General features: G+C 37.6%; 1 protein-coding gene and 1 pseudogene across 9 annotated transcripts in view; one reads left to right on the plus strand and one right to left on the minus strand.

Moving 5' to 3' along the window:
* NBEAL1 (neurobeachin like 1) overlaps positions 1 to 16,647 on the plus strand; it is a 210,587-nt gene that overhangs the window by 52,568 nt on the left and 141,372 nt on the right. For all 9 annotated transcript variants that reach the window (XM_011511658.4, XM_047445554.1, NM_001378026.1 and 6 more), the window contains 3 exons: positions 1,218 to 1,300; positions 10,577 to 10,662; positions 16,044 to 16,350. In XM_011511658.4, coding sequence (XP_011509960.1) covers positions 1,218 to 1,300; positions 10,577 to 10,662; positions 16,044 to 16,350 — 476 coding nt within the window. The remainder of the gene's footprint in view (positions 1 to 1,217; positions 1,301 to 10,576; positions 10,663 to 16,043; positions 16,351 to 16,647) is intronic.
* RPL23AP36 (ribosomal protein L23a pseudogene 36) lies at positions 7,510 to 7,956 on the minus strand (annotated as a pseudogene).

Genomic DNA, 16,647 nt, shown 5'->3' on the forward strand with positions numbered 1-16,647 from the left:
TTGAAACTCCAGTGAATTTTGTACTGTTACAAAGACATGAAAATCTTTGATAATGGTCTTAATTAAATAGGAAGATCTATTAATGTTCTAACATGTTTTGTTTGAAATTAAAATAAATACAGCTGGTATAATCACTGTTCTGCCTTCCACACACTGGAAATAGGCATAGATTTAGAAAGCAGTGCAGTAGCAAATGAGGTCTAATATGATTTCTAATGAATTTGGATAGTAGATCTGGATCTTAGAACTCTCTATTTTGCTGTCACTGAGTCCAGCTATGCTTATCCTATGTGGTTTGTTCTATGATCAATTGACATTTCTTCTTAGGTTTGAAATAATTATAAGGAAAGTAATTTCAATAGCTCAATTATGGTCATTAAGAAGAAAGCATCTTAGACCAGCGCTTTATCAGTACATCATATTTAGACGTACAGAATTTCTATGTGGCTGTCCTTTAAATATTTTCTATTTTTGTTGGCTTTATCTAGTAATTTTAAATGCTTTTTTTAGGGAATGAAAAAATATCTGTGATTTTAAAAAATTCACCATCTACTAGTTGGAAGTATCATCATAACACTACTCTTTATTCTCCAATCTCCACACCACTATGCCCATCTAAGAGATTCATTTTGTATCAAATTGAAATGTTCTTGTTAAAAGCACATGCAATTTGTATTGGCTTTACCAAAGCCTGTAGAAAACATAACATCCATCAGAATTACTGGAATTGTCATTAAAAGCAAAAATAATCCCAGCCCATACTGGATTTGTATCCTCAAGATGAAAGAAGCTAATGTATGGCCTCATTATCCATTATTATAAAGTTTCAGAAAGTGGCAGAGTAGCCTGGATTTCTGATAAATTTCAACTTTACTGTAATAATATGCTACTAATCTGAGCTGTCAGTTTAGCATTACTGCAGAACAAATTCTTTTACAGATTGGAAATTTTAAGGTCTGGCTTCTTGTTCATTTTCCAGTTATTTGGAGATTTAAACTAGCTACCATGTTGCATAATTCAAAAAAATAAATCTGTTAATTGATGAACAGTTCAGTTACTGGCTAGACTTCCTTTTCAAGATTATGCGGATCCTAGAGATACATAGTTCAAGACACAAATCAAAAGTAATATTAAATTTGTTTTATAATTGTTTTTGTAATTGTGCCGTGTCTGCTTGCCCATGTTGTAACTTATTATTAACTTCTTTTTAATGATAGACGAATCCTTAGTACTGTGGAAAAGAGCAGACAGAAATATAAACCAGCTTCTCTCACAGTGGAATTCGTCCCTTTCTTTTATCGTAAGTAACACCTCTAATTTCTCTTGCTATGATTATCATCTTACTCTGATTACTTTTTATTCTTACTCTGATTCTGATCTTGATTCAGCTTTGTTAATTTATAAAATAATGGTTGTAAGAACATGTCACTGGAGTAAGCTACATGATTTGTGTTTGGCTGCAATTATTGTACTTGGTTTTATTTAATTTGCTGTTCTCAAAAAATTTTTTTAGAATAGCTGAATATTTTAATGATGGTGGTATAGTTTATTTTATTTATTTACTTTTTTTTGAGACGAAGTCACACGCTTGTTGCCCAGGCTGGAGTACAGTGGTGCGATCTTGGCTCACCACAACCTCTACCTCCTGGGTTCAAGCAATTGTCCTGCCTCAGCCTCCCAAAAAGCTGGAATTACAGGCATGTGCCACCACACCCGGCTCATTTTTGTATTTTTAGTAGAGACCGGGTTTCACCATGCTGACCAGGCTGGTCTTGAACTCCTGACCTCAGGTGAACCACCCACCTCAGCCTCCCAAAGTGCTGGGATTACAGGCATGAGCCACCATGCCTGGCCACTGGTGGTATATTTTAGAACTTCAGAATTTTTATTGAAAATAGGAAACTTGAGAGAGTTAGCCCCTATATATGTGACTTATATATGCCATCTTTCAAAAATATAGTATAATTTGCAGACTATAAAAGGAACACTGTGTGTTCCTTGAGTATGTATTTCCCATTCAAATTTGTAACTTAACATTTTGCCATATTTGCTTCAGTTCTTTCTTTTCCCTGTGAAATGAAAGAAGACAGAAATAATCCTTTGATTGCTTGCTGAAGATGACTGCAGTGCTGACTCTGCTTGACCACCAGTAGTGATACTGGCTTTAGCTAGGTAATGAAGCTCCATAGTAGACCATCTCTGGAAACTGGCCTCACTTAGAGGATATAGGACAGGAAACCCAGCCTGCCAGTAGAACAGTATAAGGTGTTTCTATTCATCAGGAGTCCTCACAGCCATCCAAGGGCTATTCTTTGGTCCTCCAAGTGAGGTTATAAAATCAAATTGGTGTGTCAGGGAGCCACTTGGCTTAGAAGTAAAGTATCCCATAAAAGCCTTTGTCTCTTGTATATTTAGGTTGTGCGCATATTTTGTTAATTTATCCCAAAGTATTGTATATTGTATGCTTGTAAATGATGTATCTTATTCATTTTTGGAGAGAGATGCGGTCTCATTCTGTTGCTCAGGCTGGAGTGCAGTAGTGCAATCATAGCTCACTATATAACCTGCAACTTGTGAGCTCAGGTGGTCCTCTCACCTCAACCTCCCAAATACCTAGGACTACAGGTATGTGCCACCATGCCTGGCTAATATAAAAAAATTTTTTATGGAGACAAAGTCTCACTATGTTGCCTAGGCTGGTCTCAGACTCCTGGCCTCAAGTGATCCTCCCACCTCAGCCTCTCCAGGTATTGAGATTACAGGTGAGAGCCACCATGCCCAGCCTGATTTGTTTTAAATTGTATTTTTCATTTTTAAAACTAGTATATAGAAATGTAATTTGTTTTTGTATATTGATTTTTATATCCTTGTTCCCCCATGTAGAAGGGAAAAAATTCAGTCTTTCACTATTAAATATGATATTAGCTGTGTTTTTAAAAATAGATGCCCTTTATTAAGTAGAGGAAGTCTTATTTTAACCCTAGTTTGCTAATAGTTTTTATTACTGAATGGACATTGACTTTTTTTTTTAATGTACTTTTACTGCATCTATTTGAGGTGCTTGTTAATTGGCAAAATACATAGATTGATTTTCAAATATTAAACTAACATCATATTTCTGGCCCAAACTACCTTTGGTTGTGATTATATAATTAACTTGTATTTCTCTCTCTCTCTCTCTCTCTTTTTTTTTTTTTTTTTTTTGAGAAACAGGGTATTGCTCTGTTGTCCAGTCTGGAGTGCTATGGTATAATCATAGCTTACTGTAGCCTTAAACTCCTGGGCTCAAGTGATTTTCTTGCCTCAGCCTCCTGAGTAGCTGGGACTACATGAATGCACCATCATAAGCAGTGTGTTAGTTCGTTCCCACACTGCCATAAAGTAATACCTGAGACTGGGGTAATTGATAAAGAAAAGAGGTTTAATTGGCTCGTGGTTCCACAGGCAATACAGGAAGCATGACAGCCTCTGCTTCTGGGGAAGCCTCAGGAGCTTTTACTTACTGCAGAAGGCAAAGCAGGAGCAGGACCAAGAGTGAGAAAGCTGGGAGGTGCTATAAACTTTTAAATGACCAGATCTCATGAGAACTCTGTCATGAGAACAGCACCAAAGGGATGCTGCTAAATTATGCATGAAGGATCCGCCCCTATGATCCAGTCATTTCCCACCAGGCCCCACCTCCAACACTGGGGATTACAGTTGAACACGAGATTTCAGTGGGGGCATAGATCCAAACCATATCAGCTGGCTAATTTAACAAAATGTTTTTGTAGATAAGGTCTTGCTGTGTTGCCTCCAGGCTGGTCTTGAACTCCTGGCCTCTAGTGACCCTCCTTCCTCAGTCTTCCAAAGTGCTAGGATTATAGTATATTATCCTTTTTATGTAATACTGCATTTGATTGATTTTTTGTTTAAAAATTTTGTGTCTCTGTTCAAGGATGGTAAGGGTTTCTAGGATTTTTTGCCTTATATGTCTTGTATGGTTTTTGTCTTAGTCTGCTTGGATTGTCATAACAAAATACTGTAGACTGGGTGGCTTAAATAACAGAAATTTGTTTCTCACAGTTCTGGAGTCTGGAAAGTCCAGCAGGGTTTATTTTCTGTTGAGATCTGTCTTTGTGGCTTGCAGATAGTCACCTTCTTGCTGTGTCCTCACATGTTGGAAAAAGACTGTTGTCTCTTCCTCTTCTTACAAGGGCACTAGTTCTCTTTGATCAAGGCTCTAGTTTTATGACCTCATTTAACTTTAATCACTTCTTTAAAGGCCCTGTCTGCAATACAGTCATATGGGGAGATGTTAGGGCTTCCACATATTAATTTTGGGGGTATACAGTTCACTCTATACCACTCTGTCCTTGCCCCCCCATTCATGTACTTAACACATACAGAATACATCCATTTTATCCCAACAGCCCCAAATGTCTTAACTCATTTTCACATCAACTCTGTAAGTCTAAAGTTCAAAATCTTATCTAAATATCTAAATCTGATACTGGTGAGACTGAAGTTACAATTCATCCTGACTCAAAATCCCTTTCCAACTATAAACCTGTGAAAACAAATAAGTTATATGTAACCAGAATACAATGTTGGAACAGGTATAGGATACACATTCCCATTCCAAAAGGGAGACAGTGGAAGGAATAAAGGGGTGACAGGTCTCAGGTAAGCCTAAAACCTAGTAAGGTAAATTCTATTAGTCATTAAAGCTTGAGAATAGCCCTCTTTGGTTGATACTCTGTACTTCATGCGCACTGGGTTGCCAGTGTCACCCCCCACCCCAGGTCTCTGCAAGGGCCCCACACATAATGCTGTCTGTGAGGGCAGCTCCACCATTGAGGCACTAGGTAGGTCATCCTGGCCCACTGAAACTTGACCTGTGGTCCTACCCTTTGAAACCAAGGAAGAGGAAACAGCCTTGCCTCCTGGATCTTTGGTGGGAATGGCAGCTCTCATAATCTCTGAATTGCTTTCAGAGTTTTTCTTATCACACATTCAAACTGAATAGCTTTATGGTCTGATCTATAGAATCCAAGAAGTCCAACAGTCTACCTTCATTCCTTCCCACTTTCTCTGTCCCCTTTAGTTCAAAATGGTAGTGTCTTTTCTGGTATAATCCCGTATCCATTCCTGGCCTCACTGAGCTGGCTGATTAAGTCCACTAGTTATACCCATGGTCTGTTTATCAGTCACACCCTCAGTATTTTCTTTAGAACAAGCTTTCTTGTTTGTTTGTTTTTTTTTTTTTAAATTTGGATAGACTGAGAATTTTCTAAATCTTCAGCTTCTGGTTCTTTTGTGCTTAACAGTTTCTTCTTTAGTTTATTTCTGTCTGCTCACATTTTAACTATAAGCAGTCAGAAGGAGAAATTAAGCTGCTCCTTCAACACTTGCTTAGAAATTGCCTTAGCTAAATATCCAATTTCATTGCTTGCTGCATGTTCTACCTTCCACAAAACACTAGAACACAGTTGAGCCAAGTTCTTTGCCACTTTATAATAAGGATCCCCTTTCCACTAGTTTTCAATAACATGCTCCTTATTTATGTTTGAGAGCTCACCAGAATTGCCCTGAAGGTCCCTATTTCCAGCATGCACCTCAAAACTCTTCCAGCCTCTACCCATTACCCAGTTCTAAAGCTGCTTCTGTATTCTTAGGTCTTTGTTGTAGTAGCACTCTATTTCTTTGTAACAAAATCTGTCTTAGTCTGCTTGGGCTGGTATAACAAAATACTATTGATTTGGTGGCTCAAACAACAATACTGGTCATATTAAATGAGTTAGGCAGGGTTCTCTTTTCCTCTGTTTTCTGTGAGAGTTGGTTTGAGAATGCTATTATGATTTTCTTAACATTCACCAGCAGATCTGGACCTGGAGATTACCTTGTGGAAAGGTTTTGTTTTGTTTTTCATTGAGACAGAATCTTGCTATATTGCTCAGGCTCATCTTGAATTCCTGGGTTCAAGTGATCTTACCACCTCAGCCTCCTGAGTAGCTGGGACTATAGGCATGTGTGTTATGCCCAGTGTGAAAAGGTTTTAAATTATGGAATAAATTTATTTACTAGGTAAAGGGCTACTCAGATTTTCTATTTCTTCTTGTGTTAGTTTTTATAATTCATGTCTTTCAAGGAATTTGTGTTTTTCATCACATGAATTGTGTTGAATTTATTGGCATAAAGTTGTTCATAGTATTTCTTCATGTATCCTTCTTAAATCTGTGGAATCTAAATTGATGTCTCCTCTTTCATTCCTGACATTGATAATTTACATTTTTCTCTCTTCTTTTTTCTTGATTGGTCTAGCTAGAGGTTTTTAAATTATATTGATCCTGGCACATGCCTGTAGTCCCAGCTACTTAGGAGGCTGAGGCAGGAGGATCACCTTAGCCCAGGGGTTCGGGGCTATAGTACACTATGATTGTGCCTATGAATAGCCACTGCATTCCAGCCTGGGCAACATAGTGAGACCCTGTCTCTTAAAAAATTATATTGATCTTTGCAGTGAACTAGCTTTTGATTTCATTGATTTTCCTCTATTGTTTATTCGTTTCCTTTTTCATTATTTTTTCTATTATCTTTAATATTAACTTCCTCTTAATTGCTCTTCTTTTTCTAGCTTCTTAGAGTGAAAGGTCAGTCTTTGATTAGATCTTTATTTCGACCTTCTTTTCTAGAATGAACATGAATCATTGCTTTAGTTGTGCCCCACAGATTTTGATATGTTTGTTTTAATTTTGTTAAATTAAAATGAAGTTTTCTTGTTTGGTTTAAAATATTTTCAAATTGGGGAAATGTTGGTCAAAGCATACAAAATTTCGGTTAGGAAGAATAAATTCAAGAGAGCTACTACATAACATTGTGACTGTAGTTAGTAACAATGCATTGCATACTTGAAAATGGCTAAGAGAGTAGCTAAAAGAGAGGTCATCACAAAAAAAGTTAAGTATGTGAGGTAATGTGTATATGTTAATTAGTTTGATTTAGCCACAGTGTATACATATTTCAAAATACCATGTTGTTCACCATAAATATATGCAATTTGTATTTGTCAATTAAAAAAGATTACATTAATAAAATGAAAAGGCATGTATTGTTTAATCTGCAAATGTTGGGGGAGTTTACAGATCCTTTTTTCTTTCTTCTTTTTTTTTTTTTTTTTTTTTTTTTGACATGGGGTCTTACTCTGTTACCCAGGCTGGAGTGGTGCAGTGGCACGATCTTGGCTCACTGCAGCCTCCGCCTCCCGGGTTCAAGCGATTCTAATGTCTCAGCCTCTCGAGTAGCTGGGATTACAGGTGCCCGCCATCATACCCAGCTAATTTTTGTATTTTTAGTAAATATGGGGTTTCGCCACGTTGACCAGGCTGGTCTCGAACTCCTGGCCGCAAGTGAGCCACCCGCCTCAGCCTCCCAAAGTGCTAGGATTACAGGCATGAGCCTCCACCCCCAGCCCTTTTTTTCTTTATGGTGAAAAAAGTGTCTATTTGGAATTAACCTGCTGGACTCAGTTTAGATGATCCCAGTTTTGTAGGCAATATTGAAAGCATCATAGTCAGGAGGCAGTCTAACATATGCCTTCTCTCCAGCAGGCCTGATTGGGGTGTAGACCTGGCCACATCATTGTCAATAGAGCTTCTTCATGGCCTGTCTGATCTGTTGTTGGGCTTGATATCTACAGTGAACACAAGTGTTTTGCTGTCATCTTTTTCATTGGCTGACTTAGTGGCTTAAAGGGATTTTGATGCTGGCATAGTAGTCAAGTTTGTATCTTCTCTGAGTGTTCCTCTGAGGATGTTTGGGCTGCGTTTGGAACCATAGTGTCTTGGGCCACCAGAAGGTGGTGATGTGCAGATTGTGTGTGTGTGGGGTGGGGTGGATGCCTTTTAGCCCTGCCTGCTTGGCCTTCATAGCCTTGGCTTTGGCTTTGGCTTTGGGAGGGGCAGGGACCACCTTCCTTTTAATGCCATCTTCATGAAAAGGATCTCCAGATAATCTTTTTTTCATTACTTTCTAATATATTTCCTTTATGGCAAGAGAAAATACTCTTTATGACTTCAATAAACTTAAACTCATTGAGTTGTATTTTCTTATTTAAATTTATTGAGTTCCACTTTTCATCATGAATAACATTCCTTGCCTTGATTATATTTCTTGCCTACTTTGTCAGATACTAATATAGCCACCCAGCAATCTTATGATGAGAGTTTGCATGGTATATGTTTTTATGTCCTTTTTATGTATTATCTTTCTGTGTGTCCACTGTGGCTGAGTGGAACTCTGTCATCTTCTAGCTCTGTGTAAAATCAGAGAATTACTCAGCTTACAGTTTCTTTGTAGTTTTTTGCCGATCTTGTGGGCTATCACACTATTGTGTGAGGATAGATACTGAGACCCAAAATGAGCCCTGTGCATATTTCTGGAGCACTTCCTCTGTATAGCTTCCTCCACTCCAGTACTCTGCTTTACAAATTCCAGTTGCCTGGGCCTCTCTGAACTTTGATTTCTGTCTCCTCAACTCAGCAAATGGCTGTGTTCTTTTAGGGTTCCTCCTTTCCATGTAGCAGTTCAGAAAGTGTCTCCAAACAGGAATCTGTGGTGTGATCCTTGTGCTTACTTTGTTTTCCTTCTTGTGTGTATCACAGTTCTGTGACCCAGTTTCTGGAACTGATTTTCTCCAGTTTTCTAGTTGTTTATAGCTGAAAGCCATGCGTAGTACCAGTTATTCTGATATAGGTGGAACTTCTTAATTTTTTAATTATAAGTTTCTATCCAGGTTACCTCAAAGCTGTTTCTTTTTGGTAACATTTGTTATTGGAAATAATTTTATTGTTACAGTCTTGTCCCAGTGTGTAATGACATGTGCAAAAGGGTATTCATAACAGCATCAAAAGAAAGGGGAAAAGCATAGCAGTTTATCAGTAGAGAACTGGATAAGTGAAGTTAACACATTGTAGTGGTGTATGCCCTCTAGTCATTACAAAAAATGAATTAGGCAGGTGTATCTGTTAAGATGTAGTAATGTCCAGGCTTGACGCAGTGGCTCACCCTTGTACTCCCAGCACTTCGGGAGGCTGAGGTGGGCAGATCACCTGAGCCCAGGAGTTTGAGACCAGCCTGGACAACATTGCAAAACCCTGTCTCTGCAAAAAAATACAAAAAATTAGATGGTCATGGTAGCGTGTGCCTGTAGTCCCAGCTACCTGGGAGGCCGAGGTGGGAGAATCACGTGAGCCCAGGCAGCCAAGGCTGCAGTGAGCTGTGATTGCCCTCCAGCCTAGGCAATAAAGTAAGACCCTGTCTCAAAAACAAACAAACAAACAAAAAAAAAAGTAGAAAGATGTAGTAATGTCCAGAATGTATTAAGTTAAAAAGCAAAAAAAGTATGATGCAGGAGTACATATATGTACTATGTACTTTTTTTTTTTTTTTTTTTTGAGATGAAGTGTTGCTCTGTTGCCCAGGCTGGAATGCAGTGGCACGATCTCAGCTCACTGCAACCTCTGCCTCCTGGGTTCAAGAGATTCTCCTGCCTCAGCCTCCCGAGTAGCTGGGATTACAGGTGCCCGCCACCACACCTGGCTAATTTTTGCATTTTTAGTAGAGACAGGATTTCACCATGTTGGCCAGGCTGGTCTCGAACTCCTGACCTCAGGTGATCCGCCTGCCTCGGCCTCCCAAAGTGCTGGGATTACAGGCATGAGCCACTGCGCCCAGCCTAGATGTCTCTTTACTAAGACTATTACACCTCTCATTAGTAAAAATTGACCATCACTAATCAACTAGAAAATGAAAGAGTTGGACAAAAACATTTCCTGGGTCCACTCCAGGACTAATATTCTAAAATTCTGGTACCAATAGTAACCTTTCTTTTAAAATTATAAATTATTTTATTTTATTTTTTAGAGGCTATACATGCATATGACAAAGAAAAAGCAGCATAAAGACCTGACAAGGGGCCGGGTGTGGTGGCTCATGCCTGTAATCTCAGCACTTTGGGAGGCTGAGGCGGGTGGGTCACCTGAGGTCTCTACTAAAAATACAAAAATTAGCTGGGCGTGGTGGCAGGTGCCTGTAATCCCAGCTACTCCGGAGGCTGAGGCAGGAGAATCGCTTGAATCTGGGAGGTGGAGATTGCAGTGTGCTGAGATCACACCACTGCACTCCAGCCTGGGCGATATAGCGAGACTCCATCTCAAAGGAAAAAAAAAAGAGAGAGACATCTAATTTTATGCCAGGTTTGGGTTAGTTTCTAGCCCTGTCAGTTAGTAACCATGTGACTTCAGGCAAGATATTAACTTCTGACCTTCCTTTTTCTCATTTATAAATGGGGGCCAAATATCATCCTTATATGGAGAATTATGAGAACTAAGTGAGATGACGTAAATACCTAAAATGCTATCTGGTAGATGGCTTCTCTTTTCTTTTCCTAAGACAAAATGCATATCAACCTTGGCTTTTAACACAGATCAGCCTTTTCACAAATAGTTCTTCGTGTTTGCATCAGACATTCCTTAGAGATAAATCATACTGTGAAAGACAAATCTTATTTATTTATTTATTTATTTATTATTTACAGAATGTTTTCAGGAAAGTGAACATCTCAAGGAAAGTCTTAAATGTTGCTTATTGCATCTCTTTGGAGCCATTGTAGCCGGTGGGCAGGTAAGGAAAGTGTTGAAATTTAATAAATAAAATTATAATTAACAGTGCAAAAAGCTTTCCATAGATTTAGTATGTTCTTTGTCTTTTTATAATTTCATTCACCATACAAATATTGAACTTATATATTGTAACTAATCTACTTCTTTTATTTTCCAAAAAACCTAAGTAATATTTAGCACTGACAATAAAATTACTGAATAAATAAACAAATTTAACAATTTTTGGTATTGTAAGTTCTTATTTATGTTAGCTTTCAAGCACTAGTTTTTATTTCAGATGATAGAGGAAGTCAACCTCATCAGTCCACTTGATGAAATCGAAGTCTAGTAGTTTGGTTTCTAAAGACATGAATTTATTCACTCTTCTGTGTACTTATAATACTAAATGTATTTTTGTAAGTGTATATGTTTTTTTTTCAACAAATCCAACTAGTGTTTTAAAATTTACAAAAAAGAATTTCTAGTATTTTTTTAAGGTAAGCATCTAAGTGCTGTCATAAACTTTTCTGTTTTTGTTTTTTGAAATGGGGTCTTGCTGTGTTTCCCAGGCTGGAGTGCAGAAGTGCGACTATTGGCTCACTGCAACCTCTGCCTCCCAGGTTCAAGCAATCCTCCCACTTCAGCCTCCCAAGTAGCTGGGACTACAGGCACACACCACCATGCCCAGTTAATTTTTGTATTTTTAGCAAACATGAGGTTTTGCCATATTGCCCAGGCGGGTCAAACTGCTGGGCTCAAGCGATCTTGCCCACCTCAGCCTCCCCAAGTACTGGAATTACGGGCGTGAGTCCCCCATGCCCTACCACTGTCATAAACTTTGAATATAAATTCTAGTTGACGAAAGGATTATAGTTCAGAAAGTACATGTATAAACATGTGTTTTCTTAAACCACACAGTTTAGATCAGAGGTTCCTAACACTTGTACTTTTTATAGCACACGTCCCCTTGGCAATCTGATAAAGCCCTTTGTCAGAATGTTTTAAATGCCTGAAATAAAGGAAACCAATTATACTGAAATGCAGTTACTAAAATATTAATAAAACAAATCTGTGACATAGTAATATGTGCTTCTTTATAATACATTAAACTAAAAAAGCTATAACAGCAAGTCTAGAAACTAATGTAACTTCCAAGAAGAAATTAGCATAAATGATATTTTGAGTGACTGTAACAGCTGTAATAAATGAAAATGCATATGATTTTTACTGATGACAAAATCACAAGTTTGTTTTGTTTTGTTTTGTTTGTTGTTGTTGTTTTGAGACAGGGTTTTGTTCTGCTGCCCAGAGTGGAGTGCAGTGGCTCTATCATGGCTCACTGCAGCCTTGGCCTCCTGGCTCAGTCAGTTCTCCCACTTCAGCCTCCTAAGGAGCTGGGACTACAGGTGCACACCACCACACTCAGCTAATTTTTGTATTTTTGTATTTTTGTAAAGACACTCTTTTGCCATGTTGCCCAGGTTGAGCAATTCGTGGCTCAAGCAACCTGCCCACTTCAGACTCCCAAAGTGCTAGGATTACAGGTGTGAGTCACTGTGCCTAGCCAACAAAATCACAAGTATTATTTATACTACTGTTGTTTTGTTGCTTACATTTAAACTTGAAGGAAATACTAAATTTTAGTTAGAAATTAGTAGAAATTAAGATATCTGGTTTTTTCCATCCAAGTTTATAAATCTCTATAATTCCCTCCCTCTGTTTCTTTCTCTATCTTAGGTCGAAAGTTTTTATCTTCTCTTTTTTAACTATCAGTTTTTTCTTTCACATTAAACATTCTCTTACTAGCATCAGTGTACTATGTTCTTAATATTGTTGTACCAAATTACATATTTAAATTATAATTTAAAAAACTTAGAAACCTGTATTTTTAAAAACTTAAGTAAATTTTATTTAAAGATACAAAATTATGCCAATAATACACTAGGCATATTACCTTATTATTTTTGGCATTTAGGAGGAAATCCTTGTCTACATTCAGGACAGCATCATGAAGTTTAATGCTTAGATATTTATTTGAGTTCAAGAGCCTTTTTATAAGGCTTTTTAACTTATAGCTCTAGGGAACTTTTAATCTTCTAGCAGTAAGCAACTGCTACTTGTTTGATAATGTATTTATCATTTCTTAGTCTGTTTGGAGATTTGAGAGAGTGTAATCTTCATTTCTCAAGTGAACTTCATAAACAGTTGACTTTATGTATTTGGGAGATTTCTTTTTATTTAATATGTCCAATTGAGATATATTTTATTGAGTATTAATTTTGTAAACACCATTCTGAGTTTAAGAGTTTCCTGGCCGGGCATGGTGGCTCACCCCTGTAATCACAGCACTTTGGGAGGCTGAGGTGGGTGGATCATGAGGTCAGGAAATTGAGACCATCCTGGCTAACATGGTGAAACCCTGTCTGTACTAAAAATACAAAAAAAAATTAGCCGGGCATGGTGGTGGGCGCCTGTAATCCCTGCTACTCTGGAGGCTGAGGCAGGAGAATGGCGTGAACCCGGGAGGCGGAGCTTGCAGTGAGCCGAGATCGCACCACTGCACTCCAGCCTGGGCAACAGAGCGAGACTTCATCTCAAAAAAAAAGTTTCTTATCTGTTTGTATTAATGCAATTCCCCTTTCCTCCTTGTTTTTGCTCTGTTTTGTTTTCTCTCTGTATGTTTTTTTTCATTGCATGGCCCTTATGCTCAATGGCCTTTTTAAAAAATATATTTTTATTCCTTTTTACTCTTGTACCTTGTTAGCCTCCAGAGCACTAGTGAAATTTCCATTTCTTTTGTTTTATTTGTCCTGTCCTTTTTTTGGCACCTAGCCAGAGTCCCTAGTTAGGTTTCCAGGTGGTCTGTGTGACCTTCTCCTCTTCACCCTAGTAGAAGAAAAGAGTCTCCTTGTAGTGAGAGGGATGGTGACCAGAATCTTATTTTTCAGTGTAAGTTTGCTTAATCACGTTCCAGTATTAGCTGATTTCCTTCTTTTGGATCATTATTTCCCCATTTCTATCATTTCTCTACTACAGTGAAAAAATGATTAAGTATACAGGAATAAAAATGGAAGTGGCATTGTTATGACTAATGTAGAAGCTGATTGGATCCTCTTCTCTTTTCGAAAACACAGAGACTTGTTCTTGTTAGTGCCTAGGGGTAGTCAAACCCCAGGAGACCTCCATAATGAAACCTAACACTAAAATCAAGTAGCTACTGGAAGTCCAATTTATTATTTTATGTACCAAAAATCCTTGTGATCCAGGCATAGCTATAGTGGGATTTATATCAAAGTTGGAAAGTTGTTTGTTGAATATGGCATTAGTACAAGGGTGTTTAGAGGAATTGAATATATAAAAGCTAAAGAATGGTCATGTCATAAAGGTCAGAAAAATCAAAGTCTAATTACTGGTTTCCTTTCCCAAAGCATCATATCTGGGCTTCCCATTGGCATATTTGAAACCTGTCCTGTTTTGTGTTATGTTAAAAACAAAGATTTTGTAGCCAGACTGACCTAGGTTTGAGTGTTCATCTCTAACTAGTTATGTGACTTTGGATATACTATTTACATATGTTTTAGTTTATTAATTTATGATACGGAAATAGTAACATTTATGGGATATTTGTAAGGACTAAATGACATAATATATGTACAGCACTTAACAAAGTACTTGTACTTTTAAAAACTAAGTAAATAAAAGTTTTATCAGTTAGATCTATGATTTGCTTTATGTAGCAGTTAATAAAATTAAAACAGCTTAAGTTACTTTTCTAATTAAAAACAAAGTAATAAATAATTCAGAGTTAATCTGGTGCCTCTGGGATCTTCAGGGATTCAGTTTTCTTTTGAATGTCAATCTGTCATGCTTACTATTCTATTTCATGCTGCAAGATAGCTTCTAGAGTTCTGGCCATTATGTTCACATTTGGGGCTCTAAGATAGAGGGGGTAAGGAAGAAGGATACAAATGGCATGTGTCAAGTATCTTTTAAAGACATACTGAGGCCGGGCATGGTGGCTTACGCCTATAAGCCCAGAACTTTGGGAGACTGAGGTGGCAGGATCTCTGAGCCCCAGAGTTCAAAACGAGCCTGGGCAACACAGGGAGACCCTGTCTCTACAAAAAAGTTTTTTTAAATTAGTCAGGTATGATGGTGCACACCTGTGGTCCCAGCTACTCAGGAGGCCAAAGCCTGAATAGTTGAGGCTGCAGTGAACCATGATCATGTCACTGCATTTCAACATGGGTGACAGAGGAAGACCTTGTCTGAAAAAATAAAAAACAAAATAAAGAGGTCCTGAAAAGCTGACACTCCCTGTCTTTTGATCTCATTTGCCAAACTTGGTCATATGACTATAGAGAAGGAAAATATGTCCACATAAAAAATGTGATAAAACTTGCTTCCTTGGCCTCCTTAGCAGCAGGGGCGGCTAGGAAATGTGAATTTATTCTGGGTGGCCATGTGTTCAGGAAAACATCAGTTTCTCTGAATAAGGAAGGTGAAGGAAATTGAATATTGGGTGGGCCATTAGCAGTTTCTTCCATAGCAGTAATTATTGTTGTTGATATTATGTATTATATTGATAATTATTGATGAAAACAGTCCTAATGGCTTAAGTGCTAATTCAGATAATTTTGCATGACTATGTTCTGTTTCATTATGTTGTAATTTGACAATTTAGGGCAATACATATTGTTTATTTCTGTGTTCTTCTGGTCACCTTGACATATAACTACCAATTACTTAGTATATGGAATTTCAGAAATATGTTTGTAGAATCAAAACCAAACCAGTCATCTTACATGTTTAAATCAGTTGTGATGGATTTTCTGTAACCAACCTGAAAACCTTAGAGAGACTTAATCGATTTGAGGTTGTTTTTTATGTTTCATTTTGCCTAAGAAATCCAGGGTTAGGCAGTTTTGAGCTGGTACAGCAACTCAATAAGAACATCAAGGACTGAGGTCCTTCAATATTCCTATTCTTTCTGTAGCCTGCTACTTTAATCATGGACTTATCTCTTCATGATATAAAGGTGGCTGCAAGCATTATGTTTACATTCTAGGCAGGAAAAGGTGAAAGGCCCAAGAGCAAAGGGTCCTTCCCTTTTTGTTTATAAAATGATACCCTCTTCATAGTCTACTACCATATATCCTTGACCAGAACTATGTCACATGGCTACCCTTAGCCACAAGAGAGAGTGTAAAGTGAGTTTTCTGAGAGGAAGGGAAGATTTAATATGTATGAACCACTAGCAGTGGCTATCAGAGTATCTGTTACAAATTTTTATGTCTTTATTAAAAGAAAAGGTTGCCTGCAGATGTATTAAATTCTCATTATTGCAAACATACACAACTTCATTAGGTTTAGGTTTCATTTTTATTGTCTCTAATGTTTCAGAGGAATGCTTTGCAAGCAATTTCTCCAGCCACTATGGAAGTTCTTATGCGAGTATTGGCAGATTGTGATTCCTGGGAGGATGGAGATCCTGAAGAAGTGGGTAGGAAGGCAGAACTAACTCTGAAGTGCCTTACAGAAGTGGTACATATCCTTCTCAGTAGCAACTCTGATCAGCGTCAAGTGGAAACCAGTACTATTCTGGAGAACTATTTTAAATTGCTAAATTCAGATCATTCAGCTTTACCTAATCAAAGGAGGTCCAGACAGTGGGAAAACCGATTTATTGCTCTACAGATCAAAATGCTGAGTAAGTATTACATAATGACAACTTTTTCTGAGTCTGTTTTTTATTTTCATATCTACCACTTTCTTTTGAAATACAAGGCCATTGTATGGAAAGTATTGATTGTTTAATTCAGATATCATATGACTGCTTAGACTTTGACTTCAAAATAATTTATATAGAATTGATGTGTTTGTTACAACCTCTTTGCTTTAACAATAACAAAGTCAAGTCTCTATATTGTTTTGAAAGTGTAATCTCCTAAAAGCATCAATGTGAAAAAGAAAGTTAGCTAAGACTTTGAAATTCTAGGAAAAGTAA

Source organism: Homo sapiens, chromosome 2 (assembly GCF_000001405.40).
Source record: "Homo sapiens chromosome 2, GRCh38.p14 Primary Assembly".
Classification (NCBI taxonomy): domain Eukaryota; kingdom Metazoa; phylum Chordata; class Mammalia; order Primates; family Hominidae; genus Homo; species Homo sapiens.